This window comes from Homo sapiens, chromosome 10, assembly GCF_000001405.40.
Source record: "Homo sapiens chromosome 10, GRCh38.p14 Primary Assembly".
Taxonomy (NCBI): Eukaryota; Metazoa; Chordata; class Mammalia; order Primates; family Hominidae; genus Homo; species Homo sapiens.
In genome coordinates this window covers 74,490,674-74,506,497 of record NC_000010.11, presented here as the reverse complement: position 1 = coordinate 74,506,497, position 15,824 = coordinate 74,490,674, and the positions used below count along the sequence as shown (strand labels likewise).

Below are 15,824 nucleotides of genomic sequence, written 5' to 3'. Positions count from 1 at the left end.
AGTGATCTCTCATGGTTCTTGAATTATTTTTCATCATGTTTAGTGCAATACTGTAAATCTTGAACATCACCATGGGACCCATATGAAATGTCACTAGTGATGCTGGAAGTGCTCCCAAGAAGCAGAGAAAAATCATTACAAAAAAAAGCTGACTTGCTTGATATGTACCGTAGATTGAGGTCTGCAGCTGTGGTTGCCCACCATTTCAAGATAGATGAATCCAGTGTAAGGACCATTGTGGTTGGGGGAGGACTTTGTGGAGCCATCACTGCAGCTACGACAGCAGGCATGAAAACCTTGAAGTTTCTGTAAAATATCTTTTTATCTTATATTTAAAATACAATGTGAGTACAGAATTGCTATAAGAAAGGCATACTCTAGTAAGACTTGAAGTCATTATATGACAACTTAAAGCAAAAGGAAGGTGAAGGATTTAAAGCTGGAGAATTTAATGTCAGCAAAGGATGGCTTGACATTTTTAGAAAGAGGTTTGGCTTCAAAAAATGGATAAGAGGAGAAGTAACTTCTGCTGACAAAGAAGTACCTTGTCAGTAAGGAACTGTCTTTTAAATTTCTTTAGATATTGAACAATGCCCCGGGTCACCCACACCAGGAGTTCAACAACAAAGGTGTCAAAGTGGTCTACTTGCCATCAAACACAATATCTCTAATTCAGATCTAGATTAGGGGGTCATAAGGACCTTTAAAGATCATTACACATGGTAATCTATAGAAAAGATTGTCAATGCTATGGAAGTAGACCTCAACTTAGAGAACACCAAGGATATCTGAAAGAATCAAATCATGGAAAACGCCATTGTTACAAAAGTAGCCATGAAAGCCATCAAGCCCAAAAAAATAAATTGATGCTAGAGAAAAACTGTGTCCAATGGTGTATATGACTTCATAGGATTTACAACAGAGTCAATCAAGGATATCATAAAAGAGACTGTGGATATGGCAAAAAAAAAAAAAAAAAAGTGGGGGGAAGTTGAAGAGTTTCAAGATACGGATCTTGGAGTAATTCAAGAGCTAACAGACACCATATCACAGGAATTAACAGAAGATGACTTGATGGAGATGAGTGCTTCCAAATCAGTGCCAGATGATGAGAAAGAAGATGTAGAATAAGTAGTGCCAGAAACAAATTCATATTAGACCATATAACAGAATGATTCCAGTTATTCAAAAGACTGCTTTTGACTTCTTTTACAACATGGACCCTTCTATGATATGGGCACTGAACCAAAAGCAAAAGGTGGAAGGATAGGTGCCATATAGAAACATTTTTAGAGTAACATTTTTAGGGAAATGAAAAATAAGACAGAAATTACAACGTATTTCTGTAAAGTTACACTGAGTATGCCTACCTCTTCTGCCATCCTTTCCACCTCCTTCATCATTTCCACCCCTGCTACCCCTGAGACAGGAAGACCAGCTCTTCCCCACCCTCCTCTTCAGCCTGCTCAGTGTGAAGACTACTAGGATGAAGATGTTTATGATGATCCACCTCCACTTAATGAACAATAAATGTATTAGTCCGTTTTCACACTCCTATAAAGAACTGCCCAAGACTGACTAATTTATAAAGAAAAGAGGTTTAATTGACTCACAGTTCTGCATGGCTGGGGAGGCCTCAGGAAACACAATCATGGCAGAAGGGGAAGCAGGCATGTCATACATGGCAGCAGGCGAGAGAGGGCACATGAGAGAGGAACTGTCAAACACTTATAAAACTAACAGGTTCCACGAGAACTCACTATCACAAGAACAGCATGGGGGAAATGGCCCCCATGATCTAATGACCTCCTAACAGGTCCCTCCCTTAACATGTGGAGATTATGGGGATTAAAATTCGAGATGAGATTTGAGTGGGGAAGCAGAGCCAAACCATATCAATGAATATATTTTCCTTATGATTTTCTTTTCTCTAGCTTACTGTGTTACAAAAATACACTGTATAATACATATAATATACAAAATACATGTTCATCAATGATTAATGTTACAGGTAAGGCTTCTGGTCAACAGTAGGCTCTTAGTAAAGTTTCTGGGGAGTCAAAAGTTATACATGGATTTTCAACTACCCGGGGGAGGGGAGTGCCTCTAACCCCCGGCACTGTTCAAGGGTTAACTGTATTTACTAAATGAATATGTATGCTTATGGAATACTGCACACTCTTCAAGCCTTGTATTCCAAGTGGATACTGCTACCTTCATTTCCCATTCTGCATTGATTTTTCAGGAGGTACATATTAAAAAAAAAACAACAACAGTAATTATTTTTTAAAAAGACATCATCCAAAAGGAATGTAGCAAAATTTAATTTTGAAACCGATATAAAATATCCTGTAGCACTCTTGTGAGTCTGCTGCAGTACCCTGGGGTGTCAGTGCACAGTTTCGGAACTGTGGCTCTACTTGAATTAAACACCTTGAGATAAGTCTTTTTATTTGAGAGAGCTAAAGCCCTTCTTGAGCATGGTTCAGAGTACTTGGAAAATGGAAGTACTTTATTCTGTATGAGGTAGCGTAAGTAAATCTGTGTATCAGGGTGGGATTCTGGAGAGCAAAGTAAGAGGATTTTATAAAGAGATGGACCCTGACAAGATGATGGCAGCTGGGTGCCCTGGAGATAAAATATGGCGAGTAAAAAATTGCCTGTGCCTGGGATGAGTGAACAACTTCAGTAATGCTGATAACTAGTAATCAGTTTTGTTTCTTATCCTATGTAGTGTTATAATCCTTCTCCATCAACTTAAACCTTCCACAAAAATTAGCTCTTTACTTCCCTAATATGTGTATAAATAATAATTTTTCTGCCCAATGAAGTTTTAATCTTTAAACTATTATCTCTTTGTCTCAAAATGCAGTGTCTAAGGTCCTATCAATTTTAATTATACAGCAACTCCTGGAACTATGTCATCCTTCCTATTAATATAACTTTAGTTGATAACTCTCATTACTTTGTAAACCCTACTGCAACACTTTCCTGCTCTGGCAAAGCTCCTTTGTTCAAAAAACCTTAAATGACTCATTTCCTAAACAATAGTAGCTCAAGTTCCTGAAGTGGCATTAAAAATCCTCTAAATCTGACAGTAATCTATCTTTCCTATATAATCTCTGATGACTCACATCCACAAAACTCTTACTTTGACCATATGGAGTTTCTAGCTAGCCTAAGTATAAATCCTGTACCTTTCTATATCCTTTCCTTTGCTGGTGATATTTATTCACTCTGTAGAATCTGCTCTTCCTTTTCTACTTGGTCAACTAAAGCAAGGACTGGCAAGTGTTTTCTGTAAAATGCCCCAATAAATATTTTAGGTTTGCAGGCCACATGGTATCTGTTGCAACCACTCAACTCTGCTATTGTAGCGTATGGCTCATAGGCCATACTTTGTTGACCTCTGAACTAAAAGGAAAGAAGAAAATACATACTAAGTAGAAATGAAAACAACAACCCAGATAAAAATAACATTGGAGATAAATATTAATAGAAAATCCATTTAGTGTGGTAATGAGAGTGTAGCTTCCTCTTAGTAACGAACTACATAAAGAAATTGAAAACTAAGGCAGATTTAGAGAGAAAGAAACGATATAATTACATTTCCTAAAGTTTTCCCTTAAAATGAGGACATCTGACTATTTTCTGAGGCTAGCACTAAATCAATACAAGTCCTTTACATTTGAGTATAACACCCAATTTCCAGGGGGTAATACATTATCTTGCTTTAATTGCTGCTGCTTTCTATCTCTAACTCCCAACCTGACTCAAATGTTTCTCCCTAGATGCCTCTGAGAATAGTTTCGTTGAAAACAGATCTTCTAGCTTCATCACAAGACAAGGTCATTTATATAATTTTTTTACAATGTGAGTGCTTTCGTCTATTGAAAGAAACAAAAAATTATCAAGTGGTAGAATGTGCTAATAATTATGCAAAAATTATTTTGAAATTTTTTTTAATTTAAAAAAGTGAATTGCAATCATAGAAGGTTGCAGTTCATAAGCCAGGCCAATGTAGACTACATTTAAAATATAGGTGCCTTCTGTGATTGTGAAAGTGCTGCAGGGAATAAACCTCTTCTAATTTAAACTATGGCTTGCTTTTTGGCAAATTACTGCAATAAACACTCTCTATGTCTACATTTCTTATATGTGGCACAAAGGAAGCTATGCTTCTTTTTGTATTTACTTTTATGTTAGTTTACTTTTAAACTAACACTTGTAGTATGTTCCCAGAAAAAAATTTAAAAAAAATAGCAATTGATAATAAAGCAGCATGCAGTAGTTTAAAAAGAAATCACTGGGCTAAAAATCCAGATACTCAAATTCTGGCCTGGGTTTGGACTAGCTACTAGGCAATCTTAGTGATATATAGTATTTAATCTTGATGAGTTTTAGTTTTTTCATTTGTGAAAAACAGGAGATTGGGTTGGATGACCTTGAGAAACACCTTCATTTCAAAAATTCTAGAATTCAGTTAAGTCTTAAATCAACTGATTTCTTTAAAAAATTGAGGTAAAATTCACATAAAATTATATTCACAGTGTTGTGCAACCATGACCTCTATCTACTTCTCAACATTTTTAGCACCCCAAGAAGAAACCCTATCTTCCCATTAAAAAGTTATTCCCCATTCCTCACTCCCCACAAGTCCCTGGCAACTACCAATCTGCTTTTGTTTCTGTGGATTTACCTATTATGGATACTTCATATAAATGGAATCATACAATATGTGATCCTTTATGTCTGGCTTCGTCCATTTTCTTGATATTGAGGTTCACTCACATTCTATCATGCATCAGTACTTTATTCTTTTTTATGAACGAATGATATTCCATTGTATGGATCTATCACAATGTATCTTCCTGCTTGTGGACATTTGGGTTGTTTCCATAACAATTTTTTTGCATAATATTTTCAGAAGCCATAAATAACATAAAAACATGTACACATCAAAGGTGCACTTTTAAAAAAGATTTAAAGGGATATTCTGAATAGGGAGTCCCTTTTATCCAGAAATTGACAAATCTTGGTGAGCCAGAAATGAAACTAATTGTAACTTCTGATTCATGAAACTAATAATTGAGGTTTTAGTGGAAATTTTATAAACACGAAATTTTATATATGATGAAGAAGTTTAAGAAATACATGGATCAGGCTCTGAAAGAGAAGCAGAGAATACAAGTGATCTTGAAGTACCTAATTGAAGATGATTCTTCTTTTTGGCCATATTTTATCATAAAGTGATTTTAACTGTTTTAACTTAACAGAACACAAAACAGTGATTTTTCTCCAGTTACTACCAGACACAGTTGTTTTAAATCTGAGTTAAAAATGGCAAAAATGCAATGATTTTTTTCTGTGTAATTGTTTTGGCTCTCTGAAGTTTGCATTGTTTATTTCTATGAAAGTATCACTTTATAAGTGGAAAATGACTAAGCTGAAAGCTATTGTTTATATCCTTCAGAGTGGTCAGTGTTTCTGTTTTTGATAAAAGCTAAATGTGAAATCATTTTCTGTAACATAGGAAAGAGCCAAACTGTCAGTAAATGCACTTATATTGACCCTGACATTTTCTTCTTAGGTGCTGCCAACATGTCAAAAGGAAAGGATTGCTTTCAGACATCAATAATTTCTTTATTGCTGAAGCAAATCCTGATTGCTGCAGGATTAATATCTATCCATTTGCACCAGTAGCACAAGAAGTCAAAAAGGGATAGATAGCCCTTGACACTAGATAGCAAACATTTCAAACCAGTTTCTCACTTGCTCCATGACATCGGAATATGTCACTTAAATGTTATTTTTCAAAAACCATATATTACTCAGACATTGTTTTCTGAGCTTTATGAAGTTATATGATTTGATGTAATTTTTAAAATAAGAAAAGTGACTAAAATACATTTTTAATACTCACATAGGATAGTAGTTCTCAAAGTATAATTTCTGAATCACTCGGAAAGTTGCTCAAAATGCAATATCTTGGTCATACCCCAGACTTACTGAATCAGAAACCTGTGTGGGTAGGACACAGCAACCTGTGTTTTCCCAAGCCCTCCAGGTGGTTTTGCAAACCACTGACTAAAAAAACACTGAAATATCCATTTATTATCCTTATGATTTTTATCCATCCAGGAAAATTCAGAATCTTCACGAAGATGGCAAAAAGGAGGCCTACTACAAAATGTAAAACTTGACTGGAGTGGGGGAAAAAGTAGAGTAGTCAAGGCTGTAATACAGAACACTGTATTGCAGAAACACTAGAGGTAGTGTTTCTTTGTTCCAAGAGGCAGTTCTAATATGATCTGGATAAAAAATGAGGCTTAGTTTCCCGGCCACTATGGCACTGGCCTGACACAACAGTTCTGCTACTACTTGGCTTCTATTTCGGGCTTCCAAATTATTTCCCATGAAAACAGAGTTCTGCAGCTACAAATATTTGATCTATTAATCCTCTCATTTTGCAGATGAAATTAACAGTGCAGAAAGGTTGTTTAACTCACCCAAGCTCATACAACTAATGATTTGAGGAGGCAACAGCATTCATCTATTGACTTATCTACCTGCTCACTCTTTCATACACATCCCTGCCATTGTTCCATAATTAGTGAGACAACCTAAAAAAAATGATCAGAGAAAACAGAACAGTATAAGATTGGGGAGAAAAAGAAATACATGGCAGAGGCGTCTTGAATTAGCTCTGAATTTGTTTCCAATTTCTTGACAGTGAAAGCAAAAAGTAAGACATGCCTAGTTATCTACTTTTCATGCTTGAAGAGATAAAAATGTCACTTTTTTTTTTTTGAGATGGAGTCTCGCTCTGTCGCCCAGGCTGGAGTGCAGTGGCGCGATCTCTGCTCACTGCAAGCTCCGCCTCCCGGGTTCACGCCATTCTCCTGCCTCAGCCTCCTGAGCAGCTGGGACTACAGGCGCCCGCCACCACGCCTGGCTAATTTTTTGTATTTTTAGTAGAGATGGGGTTTCACCGCTTCAGCCAGGATGGTCTCGATCTCCTGACCTCGTGATCCACCCGCCTCGGCCTCCCAAAGTGCTGGGATTACAGGCGTGAGCCATTGTGCCCGGCCAAAAATGTCACTTTCTTATAAGAAACACGTGATTCTAAAATAAACTTTTCATAGGGTCTTTAATATGTTAAACATTAATACAGAAGACTATGTTGTCCTCAACAACTTCTCAACAGCAAGCTCAGTCTGTTTATTGTGGTATTCCTCAATGAAAGATTAAGGCTTCAATATAAAAAACAACTCAGAATTTAGCCAGGTGTGATGGCACACGCCTGTAGTCCCAACTACTAGGGAGGCTGAGGTAGGAGGATTGCTTGAGCCCCAGAGTTTGAGGTTGCAGTGAGCTATGATCATACCACTGCAATCCAGCCTGGGTGACAGAGTGGGACCCTGTCTCAAAAAACACAAAGCAACAAATCAATACATGTCAGGGTAAAGAGTTTTTCTGTAAACTGTTTTCAAGTAAACAGTTTTTCTGATAGTCCAAGCATAAAATGTAGAGTTTTTTGTCCTTGTGATAGTTTACTGAGAATGATGGTTTCCAGCTTCATCCATGTCCCTACAAAGGACATGAACACATCATTTTTTATGGCTGCATAGTATTCCATGGTGTATATGTGCCACATTTTCTTAATCCAGTCTATCATTGTTGGACATTTGGGTTGGTTCCAAGTCTTTGCTATTGTGAATAGTGTACATGTTCTCACTCATAGGTGGGAATTGAACAATGAGAACACATGGACACAGGAAGGGGAACAACACACACAAGGCCTGTTGTGGGCTGGGGGAAGGGGAGAGGGATAGCATTAGGAGATAAACCTAATGTTAAATGACAAGTTAATGGGTGCAGCACACCAATATGGCACATGTATACATATGTAACTAACCTGCACGTTGTGCACATGTACCCTAAAACTTAAAGTATAATAAAAATAAAAAATAAAGTGTAGAGTTATTAGAGAAAAGGATAGATTATATGTTTCTCAAATAATCTTTTATCAATAGCAGTTCTCTAAAGCAGAATGAGAAGAGTTGAATAGTAGACAGCTTATGGTTTTACTTTCTGTAAAATTCTTCTTATTTGGTATGAATTCCATAACACCACATGCCCATTCTACTACAGAAGTTTTAAAATTAAACAATTTATCATGGAAACCTGATCAGTGGTAAAATCTTAATGATTTACATAAGGTAAATGCTAATATAAAAAGATGTACTTACTATTCTATAACAAAACAAAATTTGCTAATGTAACACTTTTTCAAAGAGGTCTTCCTTGGCCAGGCGCAGTGGCTCATGCCTGTAATTCCAGCACTTTGGGAGGCTGAGGCAAGTGGATCATGAGGTCAGGAGATCAACACCATCCTGGCTAACACGGTGAAATCCCATCCCTACTAAAAATACAAAAAATTAGCCGGGCGTGGTGGCAGGTGCCTGTAGTCCCAGCTACTGGGGAGGCTGAGGCAGGAGAATGGCATGAACCCGGGAGGCGGAGCTTGCAGTGAGCCGAGATCGGGCCATTGCACTCCGGCCTGGGTGACAGAGTGAGACTCCGTCTCAAAAAAAAGAAAAAAAAAAAAGAAAAGGTCTTCCTCAACTCTTGTAGGTAGCACTAGAACTTCCCCAGGTTCTTGATTGATATATCTATACTTTTAGAGACACAGTCTTGTTTTATTGCTCAGGCTGACGTGCAGTGGCTACTCAAACTCCTGGGCTCAAGTGACCATCCTGTCTCTGCCTCCCAAGCAGCTGGGACTACAGGAGTGTACCACTGCACTCATCTTGTTTATTTTTTTAAAACATAGCATTAATCACTACCTAACATTATAGTATATATTCACTTTTTTGTTTTATTCTTTGTCTCTACCACCAGAATATAATATTTATGAGGGCAAAGACATTTGTTCATTACCATATCCCTAGAACCATGCCTGGCACATAGCACTCACTAAACATACTGTGAATGAATGAGTCTGCTTATAATGAAGAGAGAGGTGGGAGAAAAGATGGTATATAAAGTTAAAATAAATTGAGGAATTCCAGACAGCTGAAGCAATGGTTGCCACCTAAGCCCTGTTTCTCTCCAAAAGAATATAGAACAAGGACAGAAAAATAAATCTACAAAAACACCATGCCTTCAGCACAATTTGAAGACAAAAAGAATGCCCAAACTTCAAAACAACTATAAGTGAAAAAAGGAAAAGTACCACATCCCAGTGTAAAACTTCTTACACTCAAGCATCACCCTTACTCCACCATAAAGCCATGTGGAGAGTAATGTACAAATATTATTTTTTGGGACAAAGCAGAAATAATTTAACTAGGGTAAAGAAGATAAGAGAGAGGGGGAGCTAGGCAAGGTGGCGCCCGTAGTCCCTGTAGTCTCTGCTACTTGGGAGGCTGAGCAGGGAGGATCACTTTAGCCCAAGCATTTGAGTCCAACCTGGGCAACACTGTAAGACTCTGTCTCTTAAAAAAGAGAAAAAAAATGAGAGAGGAGGAGAAAGAAAACAGAATAGGTTCTGTTTGGACTGCTGTAAAGGCAATAAATGAGGCTTAAATGATACCAACCAAAACAAATAAACTACACAGTAAAAGGTTAAATAAAATAATAGAGGACTTAGCTATTTTTAAGTACTGACAAATTTTAATGATGGGTCAGTGAATTATGCAGAGTTGATTTTAAGATAGTATTTCTGGCTAGGCATGGTGGTTCACGCCTATAATCCTAGCACTATGGGAGGTGGAAGCAAGAGGATCACTTGAGCCAAGGAGTTTGAGACCAGCCTGGGCAACACAGCAAGATTCTGTGTCTACAAAAAAATTAAAAACATAGTGTGGCATGGTGGCTGTATTCGTCCATTCTCACACTGCTGTGAAGGAATACCTGAGACTGGGTAATTTATAAAGAAAAGAAGTTTAATCAACTCATGGTTCAGCATGGCTGGAAGCCTCAGGAAACTTACAATCATGGCGGAAGGTACCTCTTCACAAGGTGGCAGGAGAGAGAATGAATGCAAGCAGCGGAAATGCCAGATGCTTATTAAACCATCTGATCTTGTGAGATTCATTAATTATCATGAGAACAGCATGGAGGAAACCACCCCCATGATTCAATTACCTCCACCTGGTCCCACCCTTGACATGTGGAGATTATTACAATTCAAGGTGAGATTTGGGTGGGGACACAGAGCAAAACCATAGCAGTGGCACATGCCTGTAGTCCAAGTTACTTGAAAGGCTGAGGCAGGAGGATTGCTTGAGCCCAGGAGGTAGAGGCTGAAGTGAGCTGTGACTGCATTACTGCACTCCAGCCTAGGTAAGACCCCCTCGCCCCCTCCAAAGGTGATATTTCTGATGCCAAAATATAAACATTTCTGCACATTCTCCTATCAAAAATCATCTCAAGACAATAATGAAAAATTACAACTAACCATATTAGTAAAAAAACTAGAAGATACTGATAATCCTGGATTACAATTTCTGAGGTCAGACAGTATATGGAGAAAAGGTAATTAGATTAGCAGGGGGAAGAAAGCTAAAGTATAAAAGCCTACTAAGAGGAGATTCCAACAAAAATCAAGCTGATTCACCCTCCAAACCTTGGAAAATTCAGAAAATGGTGGTACCAGGTAACTAGTAGAGCTGAAAATAGGGAGATAATTAACAGCAGAACTTTCAGACCCCATTCCCACCTCATATAGCCTGACAAGTGTCCTTTTCCTACCTCTGCAGAATAATGGAGGGAAGGTAGGCTAGGAAAGAACTGGAAAGGCTTCAGACTCAGGAACTCCAAGCACAAAGGAAGATAGGGAAATGGGTGAAGTGCTGAACTAAGAACAGGCTGGGCTGGTTATGTGAACACTTACATACCAAATAGCCCTTCTGACCCTTTTCCTGACCAGTACTTAGGCTTAAGTTCACCCAAAAAGAAAATTAGAGAATCCATTTTTCCTTGGAGAAATTAAATAGCCCTGGAGAAGGTGCATGTAAATTACTTCCCCTATGAAAAAGCTGTCTTTTACTCAAATACCCTAAGGAAGTTGAAAGGTCTCATTTTGTACATTGTCTAGTGCATCACTCTTAAATATAAATGCACTACCAGCATTACCAGACACTTGAGAAGAGTATGCAAAAAGCTCAACTTCAATGAAAGAGAAAAAAAAGGAAAAAAAAATCAAAAAGAAAGAAAAAATGAAAAATAGAGGATCAACCCAGGAAGTAAAATTTCATTTAAAAATTCACAGAACTGACTTATTGTCTAAATTTATAGGGAATAATGTATTAATATAATGAATTAATGAAGAGATCTACATCATTATTATTTATCATGAAACTTTAGAAAACCAGAGACAGATCATAAATGCTTCTAGAGAAAAGGCAGATCATATATAAAGGCTTAGGAAAAAAAAGAACCAGACCTCTCAAAAACAATATGTAAGTTTAGAATATAATAGAGCAATGGTTTCAAGAGTCTAAAGAAAATAAATTTTCTCACTAGAATTCCACATGGAGCCCATATATTAATCCAGAGTGAGTAAACAGAGATACTTTGAGACACTTTGGTTCTCAAAATATTTATCTCCCTTGTATTTTTTCTCAGAAAGTTAATGAAGGATGTGAGCCATCAAAAGAACTTGGCCGGGTGTGGTGGCTCACCCCTGTAATCCTAGCTATTTGGGAGGCTGAGGCAGGAGAATCGCTTGAGCCCGGGAGGCAGAGGTTGCAGTGAGCTGAGATCATGCCACTGCACTCCAGCCTGGGCAACAGAGTGAGACTATATCTCAAAAACAAAAAAAGAGAGAGAAAGAAAAAAATAAGAAAAACAAAGCTTTCAGAGCACATGATTTATAATTACCTTTACAAATTAAAACTCACATTTTTAACTATGCACAAAATAAATGTGAGAAGCTATTGGAAGATATGTGTATGGAAGTCACCACAGGTATAAAGAAACCTAAGGAAACAAAAAGATAAGGGAATTCTAAACTCTAGGAGAAACTAAAAGTTGTAAAACACCATAGAATATAATTTGTCTCAGAAATAAATAATACATACATCTGTATAATATTATTTATGCTGAAAACTGATTTATCAAAAACTCTACTGGAGAACTGGAGAGGAGGAGAGGACAGAATGTATGTATATAAGAGAGACAAATATTTATCTTATCATAGTAGGAAGTTGGTAAGTACATAATATCTAACCTGGATAGGTGAGGTGATTAAAAATATGGAGGTAGGTAAAAGAAGAAATAGCTAAAAGGGCTGTCAAAGTACAGGGCAGGGTATTGCTCTTTTCCACAGTATACCCTTAAGGACAAAATCAGTAAACTGTGTACATATATTATTTTAAAATACTAATTTAAAAACTTTTAAAGAATTAAAATGACCATAAATAATTCTATTTCATCATTCAGTATACTAAATCAAAACTTAATTTACCATGTCTCTAAGTTTCTCTCCTATTAAATGACCACATTACAACAAGTATTTAAAGTACTGCATATCATATGAAGTACACTGCAAATATATTTTCTGCATTAAATAACCAAAAACTGTCTCAGGTCAATAAAAAAAATACACATACATATGATGGCTGTTACATCATCTCACTTCTGACCTTACCAAAGATGAGGTAAAACATTCATGGTAGGTACACATAAAATACCTGATATTTTTAACATTTCCTATGACCTTTCAAAGATCTTTAAAATGATCTATTTCTTCAACTGAAAAGTAGATACTAGCATAATAAAAATTATAATATCTAATATTTTAAAGAGTTATGTGCTAAGAATTGTCCCAAATCAATGTATTATTTGGGAGGCTGAGGTGGGTGGATCACTTGAGCCCAGGATTTCGAGACCAACCTGGGCAACATATGGAGACCTCATCTATATATATACAGATGAGATATATATCTATGTCTATCTATATCTATATCTATATCTATATATCTATATCTCTCTCTATATCTATATATCTCTCTATATATATCTCTTCTATATAGATGAGATATATATATATATATAGATGAGGTCTATATATGTAAAGATGTGTGTATGTATGTATGTGTGGATATACATATATATGTATATACACACACACACACATACATGCTGGGTGTGTTGGTGCACACCTGTGGTCTCAACTACTAGGGAGGCCTGAGGTGGGAGGATCACTTGATCCCAGGAGTTCAAGGCTGCAATGAGCCATAATCATGTCACTCACTGCACTCCAGCCTGGGTGACAGACTGAGACTCTGTCTCAGTAAAGTAAAATAAAATAAAATAAAATGCATTATCTTATACCCTACATGATTTGGGTGTTATTAACCAATTTTACATCAATTAGGTTCATTTTACAGATATAAAAATTGAAGCTGAAAGCCAACTAACAAATGCAGAAAAAATGATGGAATGAAAAACAAATCATTATTTGGCAATCTCCATAGTAATAACTGTCTCTAGGAAGAATGGATGTCAAAACTAGCATGTGAACATGTAATGAGAAATAGGATAGTTAGGTACTCTCAGAGTATCTTCCCACAAGAGATCCATTACAAAAGGAAAATGGTAACTTTATGGTAGAGAAATTTGAAAATATAATGTTATGATCAAAGGGTAACATCATCAGCAATAGGATAAAACAGGTATCATGTACCTCCTAATATGGTACATGAAGGATAGGTCATATCCATAGTATTTTATGAAAAGGCATAACCTAAATCTAATCATAAGGAAACATAAAAAAAACTTAAGGTACATTCTACAAAATAAGCAGCCTATACTTTTCAAAAATATCAAAGTCATGAAAGATAAAGTCAGATGTGTTAACGTCACATCATTCATTGCCCAATCATGAAAATTTGTCAGTACTTGCAAATAGCTAAGTCCTCTGTTATTTAACCTTTTACTATTTATCTGTTTTGGTTAGCATCCTTTATGTCACATTTATTGCCTTTATAACAGTCCATGAGCTTATTCTGTTTTCTTCTTCTGTCTCTTTTCTTTTCTTTCTTTTTTTTAAGAGACAGAGTCTTATTATGTTGCCCAGGTCAGACTCGAACTCTTGGGCTCAAGTGATCCTCCCTCCTCAGCCTCCCAAATAGCTAGGACTACCAGCAGTTTCTAGAGATGACAACTAAATGTAACATGTGATCTTGGATTCAACCTAAGAATAAAATAATTTTTCTTTTGCCATGAAGGGTATTAGTGGTATAACTGAAAAAATTTGAATAAGATCTCTAGATAAGACAGTAATACTTTATCCATGTTAATTTCCTGTTTTGGATAAATATACTGTGGTTATGTAACAAAACGTGAATTTTTACTAACCACACCTCAAGTATTTAGAGGTTAAAGAGGCATTATTTTTGCAACTTACTCTCAAACGACTCAGGAAAAAAACTCTACATACATACATACAATAGCTGTGGTAAATATTAACATATGGGAATTCATTAAACTAGTTTTGCTATTTTTCTACAATTATTTCAAAGTTAAAATTAAAAAAACTAAAACAACTCTGAGACTTGTCTTGCCCACATTCAAAAGGTAAAGTAGTAGAACTGAGATTCATACATGTTTTCCCCAACTCCATAGCCCCATACTCCTAACCACAATAACACTACCATTTATAGTTTCTATCGGGGGGGAAAGCAACACACACACACAAATTCAAAGAATTTAAATAAGTAAACCTACACTCCCACTTATCTACTTAGTTACCAAAGATAAATTGAAAATGAAAGGTCATTCATCAAATTATTGGTAAGACAAACCAAAATATAGTCAATTGCTATGAAGATATAACAAAATTTAGCTGCTCTCTATTGGTTTATGTCACAAATTACTACAGCTTTCTTTAAAATACAGAGTAAAAGGCCAGGAGGTCAAGTATTTTAAAGTAAATCATTCAGTGGAGAAATTTCTTTAAAGACTAGATAAAGCAAGTGTGGCAAAATCTTAGTAATTATTGAATCTCAGTAATGGGTAGATGGGGTTCATTACATCGCTTTTGCTACTTGAAAACTTTCATAATAAAATAAAAATTAAAGCCGAACATAGTGACATATCCCTGTAGTCCCAGCTGCTTGAGAGGCTGACGCAGGAGGATTGCTTGGATCTAAAAGTTCAAGTCCAGCTTGGGCAACCTAGTGAGATCCTGACTCAAAGTAAAGTAAAATAAAAAATAATAAATTGTAAGGAAATGGGATGCACCAAGTGAAGATCCTTTATTCACTCAACAAACACTCACTGAGTATCTTCCACCTATAAGACACTGTGAAAAAAGGCACTGTATAGCTTATGTGGTAGTGTTTTTTTGTGTGTCCATTTTAAGCTGATCCGGTATTTAATATTTAATCGACAAATGGCTGTATATAAAACCTAACTATTAGAATTCTATAGGGCTAGTATTTTAGGTGGCTGATCAATGTACTACATTTTTTGAGAATAAAAAGACACATTAAACCCCAGAGAGAAGTACATAATTATTTTTATAAATAACAAGAAAAAGTTAAAATAATCACAGATCCATGAGTACAAATCTGATCTAACACGTGGTACCTAAACATGGACACCATTATTTCCAACCTGAGAAGCCATCTGTGAGTTACTATGGGGAAAAAAAATCAATACAATTTTCAAACTAGAGGAAGCTTCTGCAAACATCTTGTTCAATTCTACCAGGAACAAATTAGGACAAAGATCAGCTGACTGGCTTGTCCGAGGGTAAAAACAAAAACAAAACACTTTGTTATCAGGCAGAGACGAACGGTATTGAAGTA

General features: G+C 36.3%; 1 protein-coding gene across 15 annotated transcripts in view; it reads right to left on the bottom strand.

Annotated features, from left to right (window-relative positions):
* ADK (adenosine kinase) overlaps positions 1-15,824 on the bottom strand; it is a 558,070-nt gene that overhangs the window by 202,793 nt on the left and 339,453 nt on the right. The gene's annotated exons all lie outside the window — the stretch shown is intronic.